Source organism: Homo sapiens, chromosome 2, assembly GCF_000001405.40.
Source record: "Homo sapiens chromosome 2, GRCh38.p14 Primary Assembly".
Lineage (NCBI taxonomy): Eukaryota > Metazoa > Chordata > Mammalia > Primates > Hominidae > Homo > Homo sapiens.
In genome coordinates this window covers 73,341,139-73,361,907 of record NC_000002.12, presented here as the reverse complement: position 1 = coordinate 73,361,907, position 20,769 = coordinate 73,341,139, and the positions used below count along the sequence as shown (strand labels likewise).

At 40.9% G+C, this 20,769-nt stretch overlaps 1 long non-coding RNA gene across 1 annotated transcript in view, besides 1 other annotated feature; it reads left to right on the top strand.

Annotated features, from left to right (window-relative positions):
- The window catches only part of LOC105374804 (uncharacterized), a 33,362-nt gene extending 23,774 nt beyond the window's left edge, over nucleotides 1-9,588 (top strand). Inside the window, exon 4 of the long non-coding RNA XR_007087053.1 lies at nucleotides 9,126-9,588. This is a non-coding gene — a long non-coding RNA (uncharacterized LOC105374804). The remainder of the gene's footprint in view (nucleotides 1-9,125) is intronic.
- Nucleotides 17,573-17,867: an enhancer, noted in NCBI's record as "tiled region #5299; HepG2 Activating non-DNase unmatched - State 20:ReprD, and K562 Activating DNase matched - State 9:DNaseU". NCBI's record gives its function as "activates a minimal TATA promoter and a strong SV40 promoter by Sharpr-MPRA in HepG2 cells, with weaker activity in K562 cells {active_cell/tissue: HepG2 | K562}" and the evidence as "EXISTENCE:reporter gene assay evidence [ECO:0000049][PMID:27701403]".

Genomic DNA, 20,769 nt, shown 5'->3' with positions numbered 1-20,769 from the left:
AAACTTCACTACACCTTCTGTGCAAAAAAGTCAAATGCTTCAGTGACTTATCACATAACTCACTTCTAGCAACTAAGTCCTGCACAAGTGCTATTTACTTGGCTGAACTAATTGGAGTCTGGGGTGTTGCTTTTTTAGCTTTACGCCCACTCTTCTTTGGGAAAGTGTGCTTTAAGGGGGATGCCATGGATGTTGAATGCCCCAATCTCCATTCCTGCAACAATCAGAAACACATTTTTCTCACTAAATATACTCCCAGAAGTCTCTCTCACAGAAACAAAAGCAATCACTTATAAGGATCTGTATAAGGGTGTTTATTACAGATGCATTTGTAGTGGCAAAAAATCTACAAAGACCAACACTAAGAACATGGTTGAACTAATCACAGATCATGCACATCTCTGAATATTATGAAAAAGAGGGAAATAGAGTTCTATGAGTTGGAGGGATTTCCGCAGGATGTTGTTGACAGAGAAAATCAAGATGAAGAAAAGTGTATACTATGTGATCTTTTGTTTAAAAAGAAAAAAAAAAAGAAAGAAGAGAAAAGAAAAAACAGGCCGGGCATGGTGGCTCATGCCTGTAATCCTAGCACTTTGGGAGGCCAAGGCGGACGGATCACCTGAGGTCAGGAGTCTGAGACCAGCCTGGCCAACATGATGAAACCCCATCTCTACTAAAAATACAAAAATTAGCTGGGCATGGTGATGCACACCTGTAGTCCCAGCTACTTGGGTGGCTGAGGCAGGAGAAACACTTGAACCCGGAGATGGAGGTTGCAGTGAGCTGAGAGTGCGCCACTGCACTCTAGCCTGGCCAACAGAGTGAGACTCTGTCCCCCAAAATTAAAATAATAATAATAATAATAAATTTAAAAAAAATTAAAAAACAGAAAACCATATGTAATGCTTATAGGCATGTATGATTAAATACATGTAATAAAAATTATAGAAAAATGCACACTAGGTTTAGAACATGGATTATCTGAGGAGATACAGGGTGAAATATGTGTAAGGGAAGCGAGAAGTACACCAAGGCGGTAAAAGAAAGGAAAGAAGATTACATTTGAAAATTATGTGGCATATTCTGGGAAAGTGGCAACAGCAGCAACCACATAGTTTTTCAATCTCTGCAAATCTCTACATAAAAACAGCAGAACTAGATTGCAAAACCAAAGCACATGGAAAATATTTACAACTAGTGTTGCCAGATGTAGCAAAGAAAAATACAGGATGTTCAGTTAAGTGCGAATTTTAAATAAACACTAAATAATTTTTTAGTGGATGTATGTCTCAGATATTACATGGAAATAGAAACGCTAGACCTAAATGGAGAGGGGAATGGAGCCAGAAAATCCCAGAAAGCAAACCACCATATTTTTGAACACTACACAAAAGCAACAGAAGAGGGAGCTCTGTGAAATTAGAAAAGCTCTGTGGAATTCCACCTTATTTTTTCAAAGTACAGGGAAACAGATTTCACACAAAAACAAAAACACAGTAGTATCAAGGTCAAATCACATGCAAAATTATAATAAGAAAAAAGAAAATGGGAAGCTAAATAACATCCCAAGGATAATGAAAGTATGCCAAAAAGACATGCCCACAAAAGAAAGAAAAATTGTAGCCTATTATTTCAAGATGAGCTAAGAGACATTAACAACAACCTAACTCAGAATCAGGAAGCCTCAGAAACAAGGTGACACAGCTCAAGAAAGAATAAGAATAAGAAGAGGAGAAAATCAGTTCATAAATGAATACTAAACCAGAAAGAATACAAGCAAGTAAATGCAACAAGTACCTGTAGAGAAATTTCTAGAAAGTGAAAAAGAGGAAAACTTTTTAAATCAAAAAGAAATGAAGAGAGATCAAAAGGAAAAGAGAAAGGTAAAGTAAATTAAACACACAGGTAATAGAAATTCCTATAAAAGAAAACCAAAGCAAGGGCATAGGACAAATATTAAACTGTATACATTTACTTTAAAAAAAAAAAACACTTTCCTGAAAATAAAAAAGATTCTTAATTGCATATTGAAAGAGCACACCACATAGCTGATAGTATTTTCCCAGAACAGTCAACACCACAGTATATTGCAATTTTAAATCCTACTGGAAACAATATCTGTGCACTTAAATATGTATGCTTATGTGTTTGCACCACATATGATAAAAAAAGTTTTCAAATACAATATTATGTAAAGAAGATAGAGAAACTAAAATTGATTGGTTACAAAATAAAATGTTATTGCTCTATTTATTCTGTGGGATGAAAATTAAGATCTTTCAAACATAGCTTAATCTCTACTTTTAGGAAAATATGAAATTACAAAAGTGGGATTTTACTTGTAAGATTTTCCTTTGCTTTGCTCTTTCTATTTGCAGCATCCACATAAATTCCCACAAGGATAACTGGCTTGAAATTTTAAACATTTATTTTCTTTTATAGAATTTTAGGTATTATAACACTTGCAAATTTAATCCAAGCATATGTTTTGTTGTTGTTTTGTTTGTTTTTTGACGCAGAGTCTCACTCTGTCACCCAGGCAGGAGTGCAGTGGCTCACTGCCACCTCCGCCTCCCAGATTCAAGAGATTCTCCTGCCTCAGCCTCCCAAGTAGCTGGGATTACAGGCGCGTGCCACCACACCCGGCTAATTTTTGTATTTTTAGTGGAGACAGGGTTTCACCATGTAGGCCAGGCTGGTCTTGAACTCCTGACTTCAGGTTATCCACCTGCCTCAGCCTCCCAAAGTGCTGGGATTACAGGCGTGAACCACCGCTCCCGGCCGCATATGTTTTTTAAACGAGGAAATTGACACTTGGGAAGTTTGTGATTTGAAAAATAAAAAGTTTTCCTGGATGGGTTTCACCAAACCTGTAATACCAGAACTTTGGGAGGCTCACACCTGTAATCCAAGCACTCTGGGAGGCCAAGGCAGGTGGATCACTTGAGCCCAGCCTGGCCAATAGAGTGAAACCCGGTCTCTACCAACAAGAAAATACAAAAATTAGCCAAGTGTAGTGGTGCATGACTGTGGTCCCAGCTACTCGGAAGGCTGAGGCATGAGAATTGCTTGAGCCTGGGAGGCAGAGGTTGCAGTGAGCCTAGATCACGAAACTGCCCTCCAGCCTGAGTGGCAGAGCGAGACTCTGTTTCCTGCCCCCCCGACTCCCAAAAAAAAAGTATTAAAAAAAGTTTCCTGTCTGAAAATAAATAAATAGACTTCAGAAAAAAGGGGCCGGGCACAGTGGCTTACGCCTGTAATCCCAGCACTTTGGGAGGCCGAGGCAGGCGGATCACCTGAGGTCAAGAGTTCGAGACAAACCTGGCCAATATGGAGAAACCCGGTCTCTACTAAACACAAAAATTAGCCAGGCGTGGTGGCGGGCGCTTGTAATCCCAGCTACTCAGGAGGCTGAGGCAGGAGAATCGCTTGAACCCCACAGGCAGAGGTTGCAGTGAGCCAAGATCGCGCCACTGCACTCCAGCCTGAGCGACAAAAGTGAAACTCTGTCTACAAAAAAAAAGAAAAGAAAAAGAAAAGAAAGAAAGAAACATTTTCTGGGCACCTAGAAAAAGGCTCATTTGACTCTTAGCGAATAGAAAATTGGATTATCATCAGAATTTTTGACAACAATGCATAATGCCAAAGAAAATAAAAAGAACTAACATATTTAAGACTTTCAAGGAAAGACACAATAATTTTATATCCAGCAAAAATAATTCGCAAGTATAAAGGATATAAACTGTTATCAACATGTAAAAACTCGGGAATATTGTTTTCATGAGCCTTCCTGAGAAATTTATCACAGAATTTCCAACCAGCAAAATAACCAGACTGACATAAATATATCAATATAAGGATACCTGATGGGCATTCTTTTTTTTTTTTTTTTTTTTGAGACATAGTCTCTATTGCCCAGGCTGGACTGCAGTGGCACAATCTCAGCTCACTGCACTGCAACCTCTGCCTCCTGGGTTCAAGCAATTCTTCTGCCTCAGGCTCCCGAGTAGCTGGGATTACAGCATGCGCCACCACGCCCAGCTAATTTTTGTATTTTTAGTAGAGATGGGGTTTCACCATGTTGGCCAGGCTGGTTTCGAACTCCTGACCTCAAATGATCCATCTGCCTCATCCTCCCAAGGTGCTGGGATTACAGGCATGAGCCACCGCACCTGGCCCATTCAATTATAATTACCTGTAGAACTACAAATAAATAAGGGCTAAGAGACAAAAAAAATTGAATATATATATATATATATGACTATGTGGTCTGACAAGACAAATGTAATACAACTTTTTAAAATTTTTTACTTTTTAAACACAGCTTTACTGATATATATTCCACATCATATAGTTTACCCATTTGAAGCATACAATTTAGTGGGTTCTCATATATTTAGAGAGTTGTGCATTAATCACTACAATCAATTTGAAAACATTTTCATGACCCCCAAAAGAAATCCCACACCCCCTAAACCCTTCACCCTTGCCCCCAGCCCTATGTAATCACTACTTTACTTTCTGTCTCTGTAGATTTGCCTACTGTGGATATTTCGTACAAAGGAAATCATATATTATGTGTTTTCTTTGTGGCTGGCTGCTTTCACTTAGCATAATGTTTTCAATATTTATTCATGTTGTAGCATGTATCAGCATTTCACTTTGTTTTTGTGGTTGGACAATATCCCATCATATGGATATACAGTGTTTATTGTTTATCCATTCATCAGTAGATGGGCATTTGGGTTTTTTCTACCTTTTGGCTATTGCAAATCACGCTGCTATAAACGTTTGTATACAAGTTTTTGTGTAGACACAAACATTTCATTTCTCTTGGGTAGATACCTAGGAGTGAAATTGCTGGATTGTAGGGTAAGTCTGTTTAACTTTTTGAAGAACTGCCAGACTATTTTTCAAAGCAGCTGCACCATTTAACATTCCCACCAGCACTGTGTGAAGTTTCCAATTTCTCTACATCCTTTTTTATTAGAGCCATCCTAGTAGGTGTGAAATAGCATCTCATTGTGGTTTTCATTTACATTTCTCTATTGGCTAATGATGTTGAACATTTTTATGTACTTACTGTCCTTTGTACACTTTCTTTCTTTCTCTCTTTCTTCCTTCCTTCCTTCCTTCCTTCCTTCCTTTCTTTCTTTTTCTTTTTTTTGAGATGAAGTCTTGCTCTGTTGCCCAGGCTGGAATGCAGTGGCGTGATCTTGACTCACTGCAACCTCTGCCTCCTGGGTTCAAGCAATTCTCCTGCCTCAGCCTCCCAAGTAGCTGAGATTACAGGCGCACACCACCATGACTGGCTACTTTTTATGTTTTTTTAGTAGAGATGGGGTTTCATCATGTTGGCCAGGCTGGTCTCAAACTCCTGACCTCAGGTGATCCACCTGCCTCGGCCTCCCAAAGTGCTGGGATTACAGGCGTGAGCCACTGCGCCTGGCTCTTTGTACATTTTCTTTCAAGAAATGTCTATTCAGATTTTTTGCCCATTTTTAAATTGGATTATTGTCTTTTATTATTGAGGTGTAATCGTTTCCTATATATTCTAGATATAAGTCCTTTATTAGAGGGATGACTTGCAAATATTTTTCCCATTCTGTGAGTTGCCATTTCATTTTGTTGATGGATGGTATCCTTTGAAGCATGAAAGTTTTTAATTTTAACTTTGCCCAGTTTGTCTATTTTTTCTTTTCTTGCTTGTGCTTTTGATGTCATATCTAAGAAACTGCTGCCTAATCTAAGGTCAAAAAGATTTGCACCTATGTGTTCTTTTAAGAGTTTTATTGTTTTAGCTCTTACATTTTTGTTTTTGATCCATGCTGAGCTAATTTTTGTCTAGGGTGTGAGGTAGGGATCCAACTGCATTCTTTTGCATGTGGGTATCTAGTTGTCCCAATAATACAACTATTTTTAAATGATGAGAGAGAACAGAGAAAATATATGCAAAGTTTAAAATGTTTTCAATAATTATGTCAGTGGGAGTATTAGCACTGTTATTCTGATACTCTTGGGTGGGTAATATGGGATAAAACAAATACACAATTACAACATATTCTAATTCTATCATCCTCAAGAACAAGTATTCTCAGTAGAAAAGAAAGAATACACAGGTATAATAGAGAAGGGGTTAAACAAAAGTCCTATTGATACAAAAACTATCTAACTGTAAATATTAAACTCATGGATTATTTCACTTTGTCCACTAAAAAAAGCATAAAGACAATAACTAATGATGTACCATTGAACATCTCTTAGCACCCAGATTGGGGCCTTGAAGTATTGTTTCTCACTAAAAGAAACCAGGACTTCTCAAGAAATGGGCGTGATACTATGATTTTATGTATATATATATAAAATCTATGTTTTCGTCCACAGTTCCTGTCTCATAACTCCCATAGCCCTTGTTACAGTCTTTTGTTATAATGTTGGGGTGCTTTAGGCCTCAGGAGCAGGCCTCAGGAAACAGAATCTCTCTCACCTTGTCCTGTCCTCCTTTTACCTGCCCAGTCAGGACTCTAATCTGATTAAGGGTCAAAAGGCCCTCAATCCAGAGAGGGTTTCGTCCCATACTTTACCAAGAGGCCAAGAAGAATCCGAACAAACAGACCTTACTGGATTTCCCCACTCAGTCTATTAGTATGAGATCATATCCTTTTTGTCCAATCACATTTCCACACAGTTGTCAATGTAATGAAGCCTCCATAAAAACCCAAAAGGAGAGGATTCAGAGAGCTTCTGGACAGCTGAACAAGTGGAGGTTCCTGGAGGGTGGCATGGCCAGGAAGGGCCTGGAAGCTCTACAACCCTTCAACCATACCTTGCCCTGCAAATCTCTTCATATGCTTCCTTTGTAATATCCTTTATAATAAACTGGTAAATGTGTTTCCCTGAGTTCTGTGAGCCACTCCAGCAAGTTAATCAAGCCCAAAGAGGGGGTCATGGGAACCCCAACTTGAAGCTGGTCAGTCAGAACTTTCAGAGGCCCAAACTTGCAACTAGTGTCTGAAGGAGGGGGCAATCTTGGGGTCTGAGCCCTCGACCTGTGGAATCCGATGTTATCTGCAGGTACATAGAGTCGGAGTTGAATTGGAAGACACCCAGCTGGTGTTCACTGCTTGTAGTTGGGGGAAAACCCCCATATATTTGGTCACAGAAGTCTTCTGTGTTGATTGTTGTGGTGTGAGAGCAGAGGAAAAGCATGGTTTAAGAGTTTACCCAAAGCAATAGTTGATCCCAAGTTTGGGGCAGGAAAAATACAAGATGAACCTGGAGTATCGTGTAATACCAGATTGCAAGCAAGCCATCAAAGACTACTAGAGTTATGTCAAAAGGACTCAGAGGCCAACCTGAGGAGGCTCCCATTGGCCATAGGTCAACAATTTGTTATTTGAATTCTCTTGGTGCAGTTCAGTGTGTTTCCCTAAACTCTGTATTTCCTGCAAATAGCTGATCCAGAGGTGAATTAGACATAGGTTCAATCCCTATGGCAAAACTATGGGTATTGTATGACAGGACTATAGTAGGCACACATTGTCCAGTTGTCACTGAAAAGCTTCAATAATTATAATAGCTGTAATAGCTTGAAACTCATCAAATGTGTCTAAATCTAAGATCAAAGTATCTGATATTTGTTTGAAAAAAGGAATTAGTCACCTTCAAAGGATGATAGGGAACCAATATTTTGCCTTGAAAACTGGTAAATATCTCATTGTGGTTTTGATTTGCATTTCTCTGATGGCCAGTGATGATGAGCATTTTTTCATGTGTCTGTTGGCTGCATAAATGTCTTCTTTTGAGAAGTGTCTGTTCATATCCTTTGCCCACTTTTTGATGGGGTTGTTTGTTTTTTTCTTGTAAATTTGTTTGAGTTCTTTGTAGATGAGTAGATTGCAAAAATTTTCCCCATTCTGTAGGTTGCCTGTTCACTCTGATGGTAGTTTCTTTTGCTGTGCAGAAGCTCTTTAGTTTAATTAGATCCCATTTGTCAATTTTGGCTTTTGTTGCCATTGCTTTTTGTGTTTTAGACATGAAGTTCTTGCCCATGCCTATGTCATCATTCTCAGCAAACTATTGCAAGGACAAAAAGCCAAACACCGCATGTTCTCACTCATAGGTGGGAATTGAACAATGAGAACACTTGGACACAGGAAGGGGAACATCACACACCGGGGCCTGTTGTGGGGTGCGGGGAGCGGGGAGGGAGAGCATTAGGAGATATACCTAATGTAAATGATGAGTTAATGGGTGCAGCACACCAACATGGCACATGTATACATATGTAACAAACCTGCACGTTGTGCACCTGTACCCTAGAACTTAAAGTATAATAAAATATATATATATATAAAAAAAAAGAAAACTGGTAAATAAAAGGAATAAATAGAACATTTATCCTGCTCTTTCAGTCCACTTGGGCTGCTATAACAAGACACTATAAACTGGGTGGCTAATAAACAATAGAAGGCCAGGCGCAGTAGCTCACGCCTGTAATCTCAACATTTTGGGAGGCCGAGGCAGGAGGATCGCTTGAGGCCAGAAGTTTGAGACCAACCTGGACAACCTGGTGAGACCCTATCTCTACAAACAAAGAAAACATTAGCTGAGAATGGTGGCCTCGGCCTGTAGTGCCAGCTACTTGGGAGGCTGAGGTGGGAGGATCACTTGAGCCCAGGAGTTCCAGGCTACAGTGAGCTATGGTTGTGCCACTGCACTTCAGCCTGGATGACAGAACGAGACTCTGTCTCTAAAAAATAAATAGGTCAGGCGTGGTGGCTCAGGTCTGCAATCCCAGCACTTTGGGAGGCTGAGGTGGGCAGATCACGAGGTCAGGAGTTCGAGACCAGCCTGGCCAACATGGTGAAACCCCATCTCTACTAAAAATACAAAAATTATCTGGGTGTGGTGGCGTGTGCCTATAGTCCCAGTTACTCAGGAGACTGAGGCAGGAGAATCACTTGAACCCGGGAGGCGGACATTGCAGTGAGCTGAGATTGTGCCACTGCACTCCAGCCTGGATGACAGAGAGAGACTCAGTCTCAAAAATAAATTAATTAATTAATTTAATTAAATAAAGAAATAAATAAACAACAGAATTTTATTTCTCACCATTCTAGAGTCTGGAAAGACCAAGATCAGGATGTCATCATGGTTGGATTCTGCTGAGGGCCCACCTCTGGATTCATAGAATGGCACCTTCTTGCTGTGTCCTCACATGGTCTAAGGGACTAAAAGCCCTCATGGCCTGACCACCTCCCAGTGGTCACACCTCCTAATACCATCACTTTGGGGGTTAGGATTTCAATATATGAATTCCGGGGAGACATAGACATTTAGACTATAGTACCTGCCTTTTCTATATGAACTTTACTCCTGGAAAACAAAACAGTAGATGAGAGAATGTGTGTTTTTATGAAAGTATTCCAACTCAAATAAAACAGAAATGATAGAATATCAGCAGTTGACAACTCTGCAGTGAATGATAGATACTGACACTTTGCAGCTATTAAGATCATTAAAAAATGACAACAGGACAATCTGTGCCTCCTACAGTCCTGCCATACAGTGTCCATAGTTTTGTCAAAGGGATCGAACCTGTATCTAATCCACCTCTGGATCACCTGTCTATTTACAGGAAATACAGAGGACAGAGAAACACATTGAACTGTACCAAGAGAATTCAAATAATGAAATCCAGACTGTGGGAGAGTACAGGTCACAAAGCTTGTATGCAAAATAAAGGGTGGAGGAGGAACCCACAGATTCAAAGATACTTAAAAAGATATATCTTCTAATGGGCAAGAGCAAACTACAGTGTCTATGGATGCACATTCCTGTCATAAAACTAAAGGAAAACTTCAAGGAAGCAATCACTATAAAAGTTAGGATGGCTGGGCACGGTGGCTCATACCTGCAGTCCCAGCACTTTAGGAGGCCAAAGCAGGAGGATCGCTTGAGGCCAGAAATATGAGACCAGCCTGGGCAACATAGCAATATCTCATCTCTAGAAAAAAATTAAAAATTAAAAATTAACCGAGGACCGGGCATGGTGGCTCATGCCTGTAATCCCAGCACTTTGGGAGGCTGAGGCGGATGGTTCATGTGAGATCAGAAGTTCGAGACCAGCCTGGCCAACATGGTGAAACCCCGTCTCTACTAAAAATACAAAAATTAGCCAGGCTTGGTGGCACATGCCTGTAATCCCAGCTACTTGAGAGGCTGAGGTAGGAGAATGCTTGAACCTGGGAGGCGGAGGTTGCAGTGAGCCAAGATCGTACCATTGCATTCCAGCCTGGGCAACAAGAGCGAAACTCCATCTCAAACAAACAAAAAAATTTAACTGAGAATGGTGGCATGGGCCTGTGGTCTTAGCTACTCAGGAGGCTGAGGCAGGAGGATCACTTTAGCCTAGGACGTGGAGGCTGCCGTGAGCCATGATCTTGCTATTGCGCTTCAGCCTGGGTGACAGAGAGAGACTCTGTGTCTAAAATAAATAAATAAATAAATAAATAAAACAAATCAGGATGTTATTTAGGGGAGGAGGAGAGATTGTGGTTGGGATGGGTTACACTGAAGGGGCTTTCAGAGTGGCTGGCAAAGTTCTATTTTTTAAAAAATCTGGGTGGTATTCACCTTAAAATAATTCATTAAACCAGGCATTTGATTTGTGTGATATTCTATTGTGATGTTTTATTTTATAATAAAAATTAAAATATTTATAATACAAATATCTTTAAAATATGTTTTATTAAAATGTTAAATCAAAATCAATTAAATCAAGTTCTCTGGAGGTGGGACCCAGGCATCAATATTCTTTAAAGCTCTCTGGTGATTCTAAAGTGCAGCCAAGTTTGAAAGCCAGCGTGTAAGAGAAATGGCACTTCACTGTGCTCCGTATCAGGGGATTGGGTTCTAGTCTTCACGTAGCCACCCATCCAGCTGTGTGACCAGGAACAGGGGGTTTAACCTCTCTGGCCCATAGTGGCCCATCTGTTACATGGTGAAAACAATTGATCTACCCAAAGTTGGGATTAGACAGGTTGACTTTTGAAGTCCCTGTGAGTTTCAGAACCTGGTAATCTAAGAAAAGGAAATAGAATTGTATTAGAATAATTCAATTGTATAAAACTTTTTAATAATTGTATGTATAATACGATCATGCGTATGCATCCACATGAAAAGTGTGTGTGTGTGTGTGTGTGTGTGTGTGTGTGTGTGTGTGTACGTCATTCAGGGTCCTGGCACCAAACAGAATTCACCATGTATGATCCAATTAAGAGATGTTATGAAGGAGCTGTGCACAGAGGTGTGGACAGGATTACTGTCAGAGCACACTGACTTGAAACAGTGAGAAACTGTTACCACCCCCTAAGCCTGAAAAGCAAGAGAAAGAAATGTGTTACTGAATCCCAGCAAGAGGTGAAGCTATGGAGGAGCCGCCCCACAGGCACTGTAGTTGCAGAGGAACACAGTCTCTTACACTGGATCCATTTATTTACGTGGCTGTGTAGATGAATACACCACAATACATTAGTCCATTCTACTGTTGAAGGACATTTGGGTTATTTTCAGATTTTTGTTCCAAAAAATATGTCACTAAGAATATTCTTATACATGCCTGTTGGTGTACATGTGGACACATTTCTGTTGGGTATGTACATACGAGTGGAATTTCTGAGTCATAGCATATATGAATCTTCATCATGTACTGCCAAACTGTTTTTCAAAGTATGTGTACCAATTTACATTCCACTAACAGTATATAAAAATTCCTTTTTCCCTTTAGTCTTATCAATACTTGCTGAAGAAAGAAAACAAGGTGGGATAACAGACATAATCAGATATCAATATTTATCATAAAACTATAGTAATTGAGGCAGGGTGGTCTGTGTGAAAAGATAGACAAATAAACCAATGGAGAAGAATAGAGAGTACAGAAACAGTCCCACACATAGGCAGATGCTCAATTAGTGACAAAGGTAGAATTTCAGAGCAGTAGAAAACAGGCATTCTCTTCATTAAATGGTATTGGATCAATGGAATATACACACCCAAAAATGAAATTTGACCCCACCTCACACCATACCTAAAAATCAATTCTAGGTGGATTGCAAATCTAAATGCAAAAGGTGAAACAACAGATTTAGAAGAAAACATGAGACTATCTTCATGACCTTGAGGTAGACAAAACTTTCTTAAATAGGACAAAAAAAAGCACTTATTTAAAAAGGAAAAGATTAATAAACTGGATTTCATTAAGATTAGGGACTACCGTTCACCAAAGGATACCACAAAGAGTGCAGTAGCATAAGTCACACACTGGCAAAGATATTTGCAACATATAACTGACAAAGGACTTACATCCAGACTGTACAAAGAACTGTTAGAATAAAAAAGACAGCAACCCAATGGAAAAATGATGAAGTCTTGAATGGGCACTTTACAAAAGAGATGTCCAAACATTCAATAACCATATTTAAAAGTGCTCAACCTCATGTAAAGTAAAACCATGAGATATAACCTCACATCCACCAGCACGGCTAAAACCAAAGTGACTGACACTATAGTATTGCAGAAAATATGGAACAATGTGAATTCTCACACATTGCTGGGGGGAGTTTAACTGATACTACTCCAGAAGTGAAAATAAATTGAAAGTTGAAAATATACTATGACTCAACAATCCTATCCTATACTCCAGAAATGTGTACATATGTGCACAAAAATAAATGTAGAAGAATGTTCACGAACAATATTTTTCTTAATAAATAAAAACTGGAAACAATCCAAATGTCCATTAACAATAAAAGTGGATGAATAAATTATGTTATACCTGTGCCATGAAATAATATACAGCAATGAAAATGAACAAACCAAAGCTACAATATCATGAATCAATCTCACACTTATAATGTTGAACAAAGGAAGCCAAGCACAAAATAATACATATCATAGAATTCCAAGTATATTAAGTACAAAACCAGGCAATAATAATCTATAGTGGTAGACAGAAATCAGAATAGTAGTTAAGACTAGGGAAGAGAAAAGGGGTAGTGATTGGGAGGGGCACAAAGGGAGCATCTGAGATGCTGGTATTGCTCTATCTCTTGAGTTGGGAGGTATTGCCTGGCTATATCTATTTTTCTATGACTTATCAAGCTATGTACTTATGATTTCTGTATTTTTGTATGTATATCTCAATTAAGGTTGTATTAATGAAAAATATGTACATACAGGAATGTTTATCATTGCATTGTACATAATGTCATTAGATTCATCAGTTACAGTATTAGTTAAATAAATTGGTTGTATCCATGAAATGAAATATTTTATCATATGAAATAAGGTCTATGGAAAACTTTCATAACATTTTGTTGAATGGAAACACCAGGTTACAAAATGGTATATTCGGTGCAAATTGATTTGTTTAAAAAGTGTATGGAGGCCGGATATGGTGACTCATGCCTGTAATCCCAGCACTTTGGGAGGCCAAGGTGGGCAGATCACCTGAGGTCAGGAGTTTGAAACCAGCCTGGCCAACATGGTGAAACCCCGTCTCTATTAAAAATACAAAAATTAGCCAGGCACGGTGGCGCTTACCTGTAATCCCAGCTACTCGGGAAGCTGAGGCAGGAGAATCGCTTGAACCCGGGAGGCAGAGGTTGCAGTGAGTGGAGATGGCGCCACTGCACTCCAGTCTGGATGACAGAGTGAGACTCTGTCTGAAAAAAAAAAAAAAAAAGTGTATGGGATATGTGTTTCTGGTGTGTGTGTGTGTGTGTGTGCATGCACGTGTGCATGAGCACACATTGAAATAAGTGTTAACTGAAAGGATTCACTACAAAATATTAATAATGGTTTTCTCTGAGTAGTGTGATTACAAGGTTGCTAAAGTTTTTGATGCTTTCTTCTTGTTCTTCTGAATTCTTCTATTTTTCTACAATAAACATGTTCTATTTATGTTTTTAAAAAGTTTAAAAAAAGAAAATCTATTCAGAGCTTTGTTAGCACTCCATTAAACACTCTTTTATGTATTCTCTGATTCTATCAAATTAATCTGTTATTCTCCCCATGGCATCTGAATCAGGCAGAATGGCAAAATCAATCCACTATGTAAAGCATTAAACTAAAACTCAAAAATGGCTTCAGTTCCCAGCTTTCCTGTTGTGTGATCTTGTTTCTCCCATCTGATCTCTCTGCACCTAATATTCTCTTCCCAGTGTCTTGCTGGAACTTGGATTTAAAATCATTCTGTTTCTCTGTATATTTTTTCCAGCATTTAGATTTCATTTTTCTGTCTACAAGAGACACAGCCACAAAATCTCCAGACATAAAGCAAGGTAGATACTTCTTTTTTTAAGTAATGATGATCAACTTGACCCCATGTATGAAGTACCTACTATTTGTCAGACATGATGCTAAATAACATTAGTTAATCCTCACAACCGCAAGAAGTAGGTGTTTTTATGTCCACTTTACAGATGAAGAAACTAAGGGACAGATTGGTTAAGCAACTTGGCCAAGGTCGCCGGGTTAGTAAGAGGCAAAGCAATATTTAACAGCAGGGAAGAGGCTGGGCGCGGTGGCTCTCGCCTGTAGTCCCAGGACTTTGGGAGGCCAAGGCAGGCAGATTACTTGAGGTCAGGAGTTCGAGACCAGCCTGGCCAACATGGAGAAATGCTCTCTACTAAAAATACAAAAATTAGCCAGGTGTGGTGGTGAGCACCTGTAATCTCAGCTACTTGGGAGGCTGAGGCAGGATAATTGCTTGAATCCGGGAGCCGGAGGTTGCAGTGAACCGAGATTGAGCCACTGCATTCCAGCCTGGGAGACAGAGTGAGACTCTGTCTCCTCTGAAAAGGGATTACCTGTAAAATTAACCAGGAGATAGATTCATGTAATAAGCACCTTGGCTGCACAAATTGTTGGCACCTCCCTTCTTAAGATAATCCAATATCGGGACAATGAAGATGAAAATGTCATGAATAAACCATCAAGAGAATCTGGCAATCTTCAGGAATCTCTGGTTGACTTTGACACTGGAGGATCCACTCCAAATCACCCCTTTTTCTCACTTCTTAGCTGGACAGAACAAGACCCCTGGAACTGTATCTTGAACTACCAGACACCGACTTCCCCAGATTTGTCCAGAGAAAGCACTTTAGCAGGCAGCAAGGATTGCGTGGAATACGTGACTACTGAGACATCAGTTTTGGTGAATGCATAAGGCTATCATCTGGATGAACTATGGACATTCAAAATGCTGACAATTAAGTGCCAAGAAAAATATCCAAAGCCCTACCTAAACTAAGTAGCATTGTGGCAAAGCCAAAATGGTCAAAGTCATCTAGCAGTTCATCTTTTAATCATTGCATTCCGAGATACTAGTTGGAAATACCCCAAGAAGTATCACCACATAAATAAAGACATTTTAATTGTGAGTTGAGAGCTAGAAGTCAAGAGACCTAAGGTAGTAGTTCTCAAACTTGAGCTTGCCTCAGAAGCACCTGGAGAGCTTATTAAAACACAGTTTGTTCAACCCTATCCCCAAAGTTTTTGATTCAGTAGTTCTGGGGTGGAGTCCAGTAATTTGCATTTTAACAAGTTCCCAGGTGATGCTGAGGTAGCTGGTCCAGGACCACAGTTTGAGAGTCATTGGCCTAAGAAATTGGTATAATTGGCCACAGCTTTATGGATTTTAAGATTGTAATGGGAGCCCTTTCCTTCATTGTCAGAGTGAGGAGGAAGGTTTTTACGGATGCTTAGTTGGTTCAAACAGGGGGAAGGAAAATCAGGACAGTGTGGTATGATAAAAACCAAAAAACCAGACCGGGCGCGGTGGCTCATGCCTGTAATCCCAGCATTTTGGGAGGCCGAGGCAGGCGGATCACGAGGTCAGGAGATCAAGACCATCCTGGCTAACACGGTGAAACCCAATCTCTACTAAAAATACAAAAAAATTAGCTGAGCGTGGTGGCACATGCTTGTAGTCCCAGCTACTCTGGAGGCTAAGGCAGGACAATGGCATGAACCTGGGCGGCAGAGCTTGCAGTGAGCCAAGATCGCCCCACTGTACTCCAGCCTGGGTGACAGAGCGAGACTCTGTCAAAAAAAAAAAAAAAAAAAGAGAGAATTTCAAGGAGGAATAAAGTAATAGAGAAGTCACATAAGAGAAGGAGAAGGAAAGATAATGGTCCATTGAATTTGGCATCCTGGAAGTAATGGATGATCTCAAGGAAGAGAGTTTCACCAGCATGGTGGGGACAGACACAGAGCTGCAGTGGTTTTTGAGTGAAGTAGTTCTTGCAGCTGACTCTTTCAAATAGCCTGGCTATTAAGTAATGGAGAGTTAGAGGATAGGAATGAGACAGGATTTGGCTTGAGCAAGTGCTGAAGGAAACGCAGCATGTATGAAAAGAGGCTGAAGATACAGAGGAGACAGGAGCTGTAGTGAGCAGATTCCTGAGAAGGTGAGAGGCATTCCAAGCCTAGATGGGAGAGAAATACCTTTCACTGAGGCAGGAGGAAAAGATAAGGGATGGGTCAAGAGGGAGGGTTTGGGGCCAGATGCAGTGGCTCACACCTGTAATCCAAGCACTTTAGGAGGCCAAGGCAGGAGGACTGCTTGAGGCCAGGAGTTTAAGACCAGCCTGAGCAATAGAGCAAGACCCTATCTCTACAAAAAAAAATATAAAAATTAGCCAGGCATGGTGGTACACGCCTATAGTCCCAGCTAGTCAGGAGGCTGAGGCAGGAGGATCACTTGAGCCTAGGAGGTTGAGGCTGCAGTGAGCCATGATTATGCCACTGCACTCTAGCCTGGGTGACAGAGTGAGATTCTGTCTCAAAAAGGAAGGAAGGAAGGAAGGAAGGAAGGAAGGAAGGAAGGAAGGAAGGAAGGAAGGAAGGGTGGGTTTAGTTTCTAGTTGGGAAAGTTCTTGCCTGATGGCCTCAATTTTCCCAGTGGAATAGGCAAGTCCTTACCCGAGAGGGAGTTAGTACGGGAGGGGATGTGAGAAAAAGGCAAAGAGGTTAGATGAACCACTGGAGAGATGGGTAACGGCATAATTTCTGACATACAGAAGGATTAATTAAGGAGCAGGTATGAGGGGCCAGGTGAAGCTGGAAACCATGATTGGAAATTACTCTTACATGAATATTTTCAGCAGCATTCGGCTGAGCAAGGGAATGCTTGAATCAACTGAGGCTTAAGGTTCTGGAGGCCAAGCACACTGGTGGGACAAGAGGCAAGAGGGTCTGGCGAAATGGAAAGGACAGAAGGGGGCATTCTGGGGGTCCAGATTCAATAGGAAAGAAATGACAGCATGAGGGTGTGGATTTCATTGGGAGAAAATGTAGTGGACAAGAGACGGAGGGTCCAATTGTGGCCAAAATGGGAATATAGTGGAGCTGCATCATTGGAGGGCCTGGATTCAAAATTTAGCCAGCACTTGGGGCATACATTTTAGGTGGTCAAATTTACCTTTGGAAATGCCTTAAATCACCCTTAATATATTATTTGCACTGACACCCAATATACTGTTTTCCAGTCAGAACTACATGGCCAGCATTAGCCCAGAACTCTGTCATTGGCTGAGCAGCCCATAAAGCAGTTGGCATGTGTTTAGAGGCCATATTGACAACAAGAGGAAGTGCTCTTTAAACACTGGAATCACAGTGAAGGCCGTGAGACAATCCCGCGATAAGAGGTACAAGGGAACTGAGGTCAACCTAGGAAACAGCAGACTCATGGCTCCCACCTCATCCTCACTCCCCAGCACACACTCTTGAAAGGAAAGTCAGTGAGGCAACTGTGCTATTTAAACTGTTCTGTCTTACCCGCTGTCATTTTTTCCCCAGACTGTAGAACCGAATTTAAATTAGTTAAAAACATGAATGATGTGATTCCACTATTTTAGGAATAAGAGAATGAGTGAGCTTAAATAGTTGGAGGCTGTGGTCTATATGAATCATGAGAGTTTAAGATTTCAAAGGTTCAGATGATCGATAAGGCCAAAGGACAAGTATCCAAATAGCTGTCATTATGGATCAATGTGCTGCCTCCAAATATCTCAATTTCAAGCATCTGTCTCTCTGACTGCCACCCATCCTTTTAGCTTCCTAATTCTAGTAGCCCCACTTCAGGCAATTTTTGACTGATTGAGACCTCCAATCCAGTGACTCTGGCCCTCTCCCACTCTCCCTCCCTCTTGTCTTACTCACAAACCTCTGTACCCACACTCCTCACTACACAGACTCATTTATAACCTTAATTCCTCAACCCTCTCTTCTTCCACTGCACTTCCTGGACAAGCTCGACTATCTGCATGTTTATGCACCTGAGGAATTGAAAATTATGGTTTAACCTGATTCTCCCCAATGTCTGCTGTCTTGCTGTTTGGGCTGGTTTCACTTTAAATTCATGAGTGCAAATCTAAAGTGGGATTGTAAATCCATACTGCCTGATAATCCTGTATCTCTCTACTGAGATGGGGGTACCTCTCCTAAAGAAGGCTACTTTAAAGCTTCTCCTATATCCTCAAAACTCCAACACCTTTTCCACCCCCTTTTCTCAGCTGATGACCTCAACTAATCATATATTACTAATCACTGTGACAGTCAAACAGGAATATTCTCCCCTTTCCACCACCAGATCTGCCGCCTCCTATCTATATCCATACACTGACTTCCTCCCTCTCACAGTGGGTGAATCCCTAAACCCATCTAAGTTCAACTCTTCCATTGAGCTCTCAATCCCAGCCCCTTTTGCCTTAAGAGCTTGCTCTTGAAACCATTCTCTTGTTCTCTTGCATTATTAATTTCTCCCTCTCTACTAAACTATTCTCATCAGCTTACAAGCATGTCTTATGATCTCCTATCTTTGAAAACCCTACCCTTGTTCCTATATCTTTCTCCAGCTATTGACCCAATGCTCTTTCTTCAGAATAAAACTTTTCAAACAAATTGCCTATATTCACCCTTAGCAGCCCCTCACCTCTTATTAACTCCTCATCCCTCTCACACCTGGTTCTTATTTCACTTCTCCATTCCACTGAAACTGATTTTTTTTTTTTTGGAGACGAAGTCTCGCTCTGTCACCCAGGCTGGAGTACAATGGCACAATCTCGGCTCACTGCAACCTCCGCCTCCTGGGTTCAAGCGATTCTTCTGCCTCAGCCTCCTGAGTAGCTGGGATTACAGGCTCCTGCCACTACGCAGAGCTAATTTTTTGTATTTTTAATAGAGATGGGGTTTCACCATGTTGGCCAGGTTGGTCTCGAACTTCTGACCTCAAGTGGTCCACCTGCCTTGGCCTCCCAAAATGCTGTGATTACAGGTGTGAGCCACCATGCCTGGCCTGAAACTGATTTTGTCAAGGTCACCAGTGACCTCCATGTGGCCACTTCTCTATCCTCATCTTACTGAACCCCGTATTAACATTCAATACAGATACGATTCCTTCCTTCTTGTCTATCGGGACACTACAGTTTCTCGGTTTCCCTTCAACCTCTCTGGTTAATCTTTCATCTCCTCTGATTGCTCCTCCTCCTCTGATCAACTGCTAAATGCTGGTGTACCCCAGTGTTCAATCTGGGCTCTCTTCCTTTTTGCCCTTCACTTTCTCTGTAGAGAGCTCATCTAGTTTCATGACTTTAAATGTCATCCTCTGATGACTCCCAAAATTATATTCTAGTTCTGTCTCTCCCTTAAGCTCCAGGGTTACATATCTAATTGCTTGCTTGACATCTCACTCAGATACCTCCTAGGAAGCTAAAATTTAACGTGGCTAAAACAGAACTTTTGATTCCGTACCACTTCTCCAACCAATTTCTCCCATGTTTCCAAAAATGCTCCCACCATCCAGGATGTATTAGTTATCTATTGCTACAGGACCAATTACCATAAACTTAGTGGCTTACAACAACACAAATTATTACCATACAGTTTCTGTAGCTCAGAAGCCTGGGCATGACTTAGCTGAGTTGCTCTGTCTCCAGGCCTCACCAGGCTACAATCCAGATGTCAGCTGAGGCTGCAGTCTCACTAGGAAAGGACCCACTGCCAAGCTCCCACAGGTTGTTGCAAGAACTCATTTCCTTGCAGCTGCAGGACTGAGGGTTTTGATTTCTTGCTGGGGGCTTCTCTCAGCTCCAAGAGGCTACCCAGAGTTTTTTGCCACATGTCAGCCTCCTTCTTCAGAACCAGTGACAGGGAGTCTGTCAGTGTGAGTTGGCTAGCAAGATGGAGTTTTACATAATATAATGTCACAAGTATGATATCCCATCATCTTTGCCATATTTTATTGGTTAGAAACAAGTCACAGGTCCCACCTACACTCAAGGGAGGTATTACAAAAAGTGTGGATACCTGAACAAGAAAATCATGGGAGTCTTAGAGTCTGTCCACCACATGGGGTGAGATGTAGCTATTCCTTTTTGTCTTCCGATGTCCGACAGGTAACTATTGATGAAACACACATACACACTCACATATATTTCCAAAGGGTAAGAACTAATTTCTTGGAGACAGCACAGTCCAAATTTATATTGCCAAAGAAAAGGTTGTCGTTAGTAGCACATAAATCTAATGACAGTCCCTAGTCACGGGAGAGAGAGCACCTGACACTATGCAGAACAGTGTGACTTCCTCCTGCTCACCTCACTCTCTCAATAGGTCTTCACTCCCTTCAAACCACTAGTGTTCTGGGCCCAAGATCAAGGCCCATTGTTAAACTATCTGGCTCTCAAGAACCACTGCTTA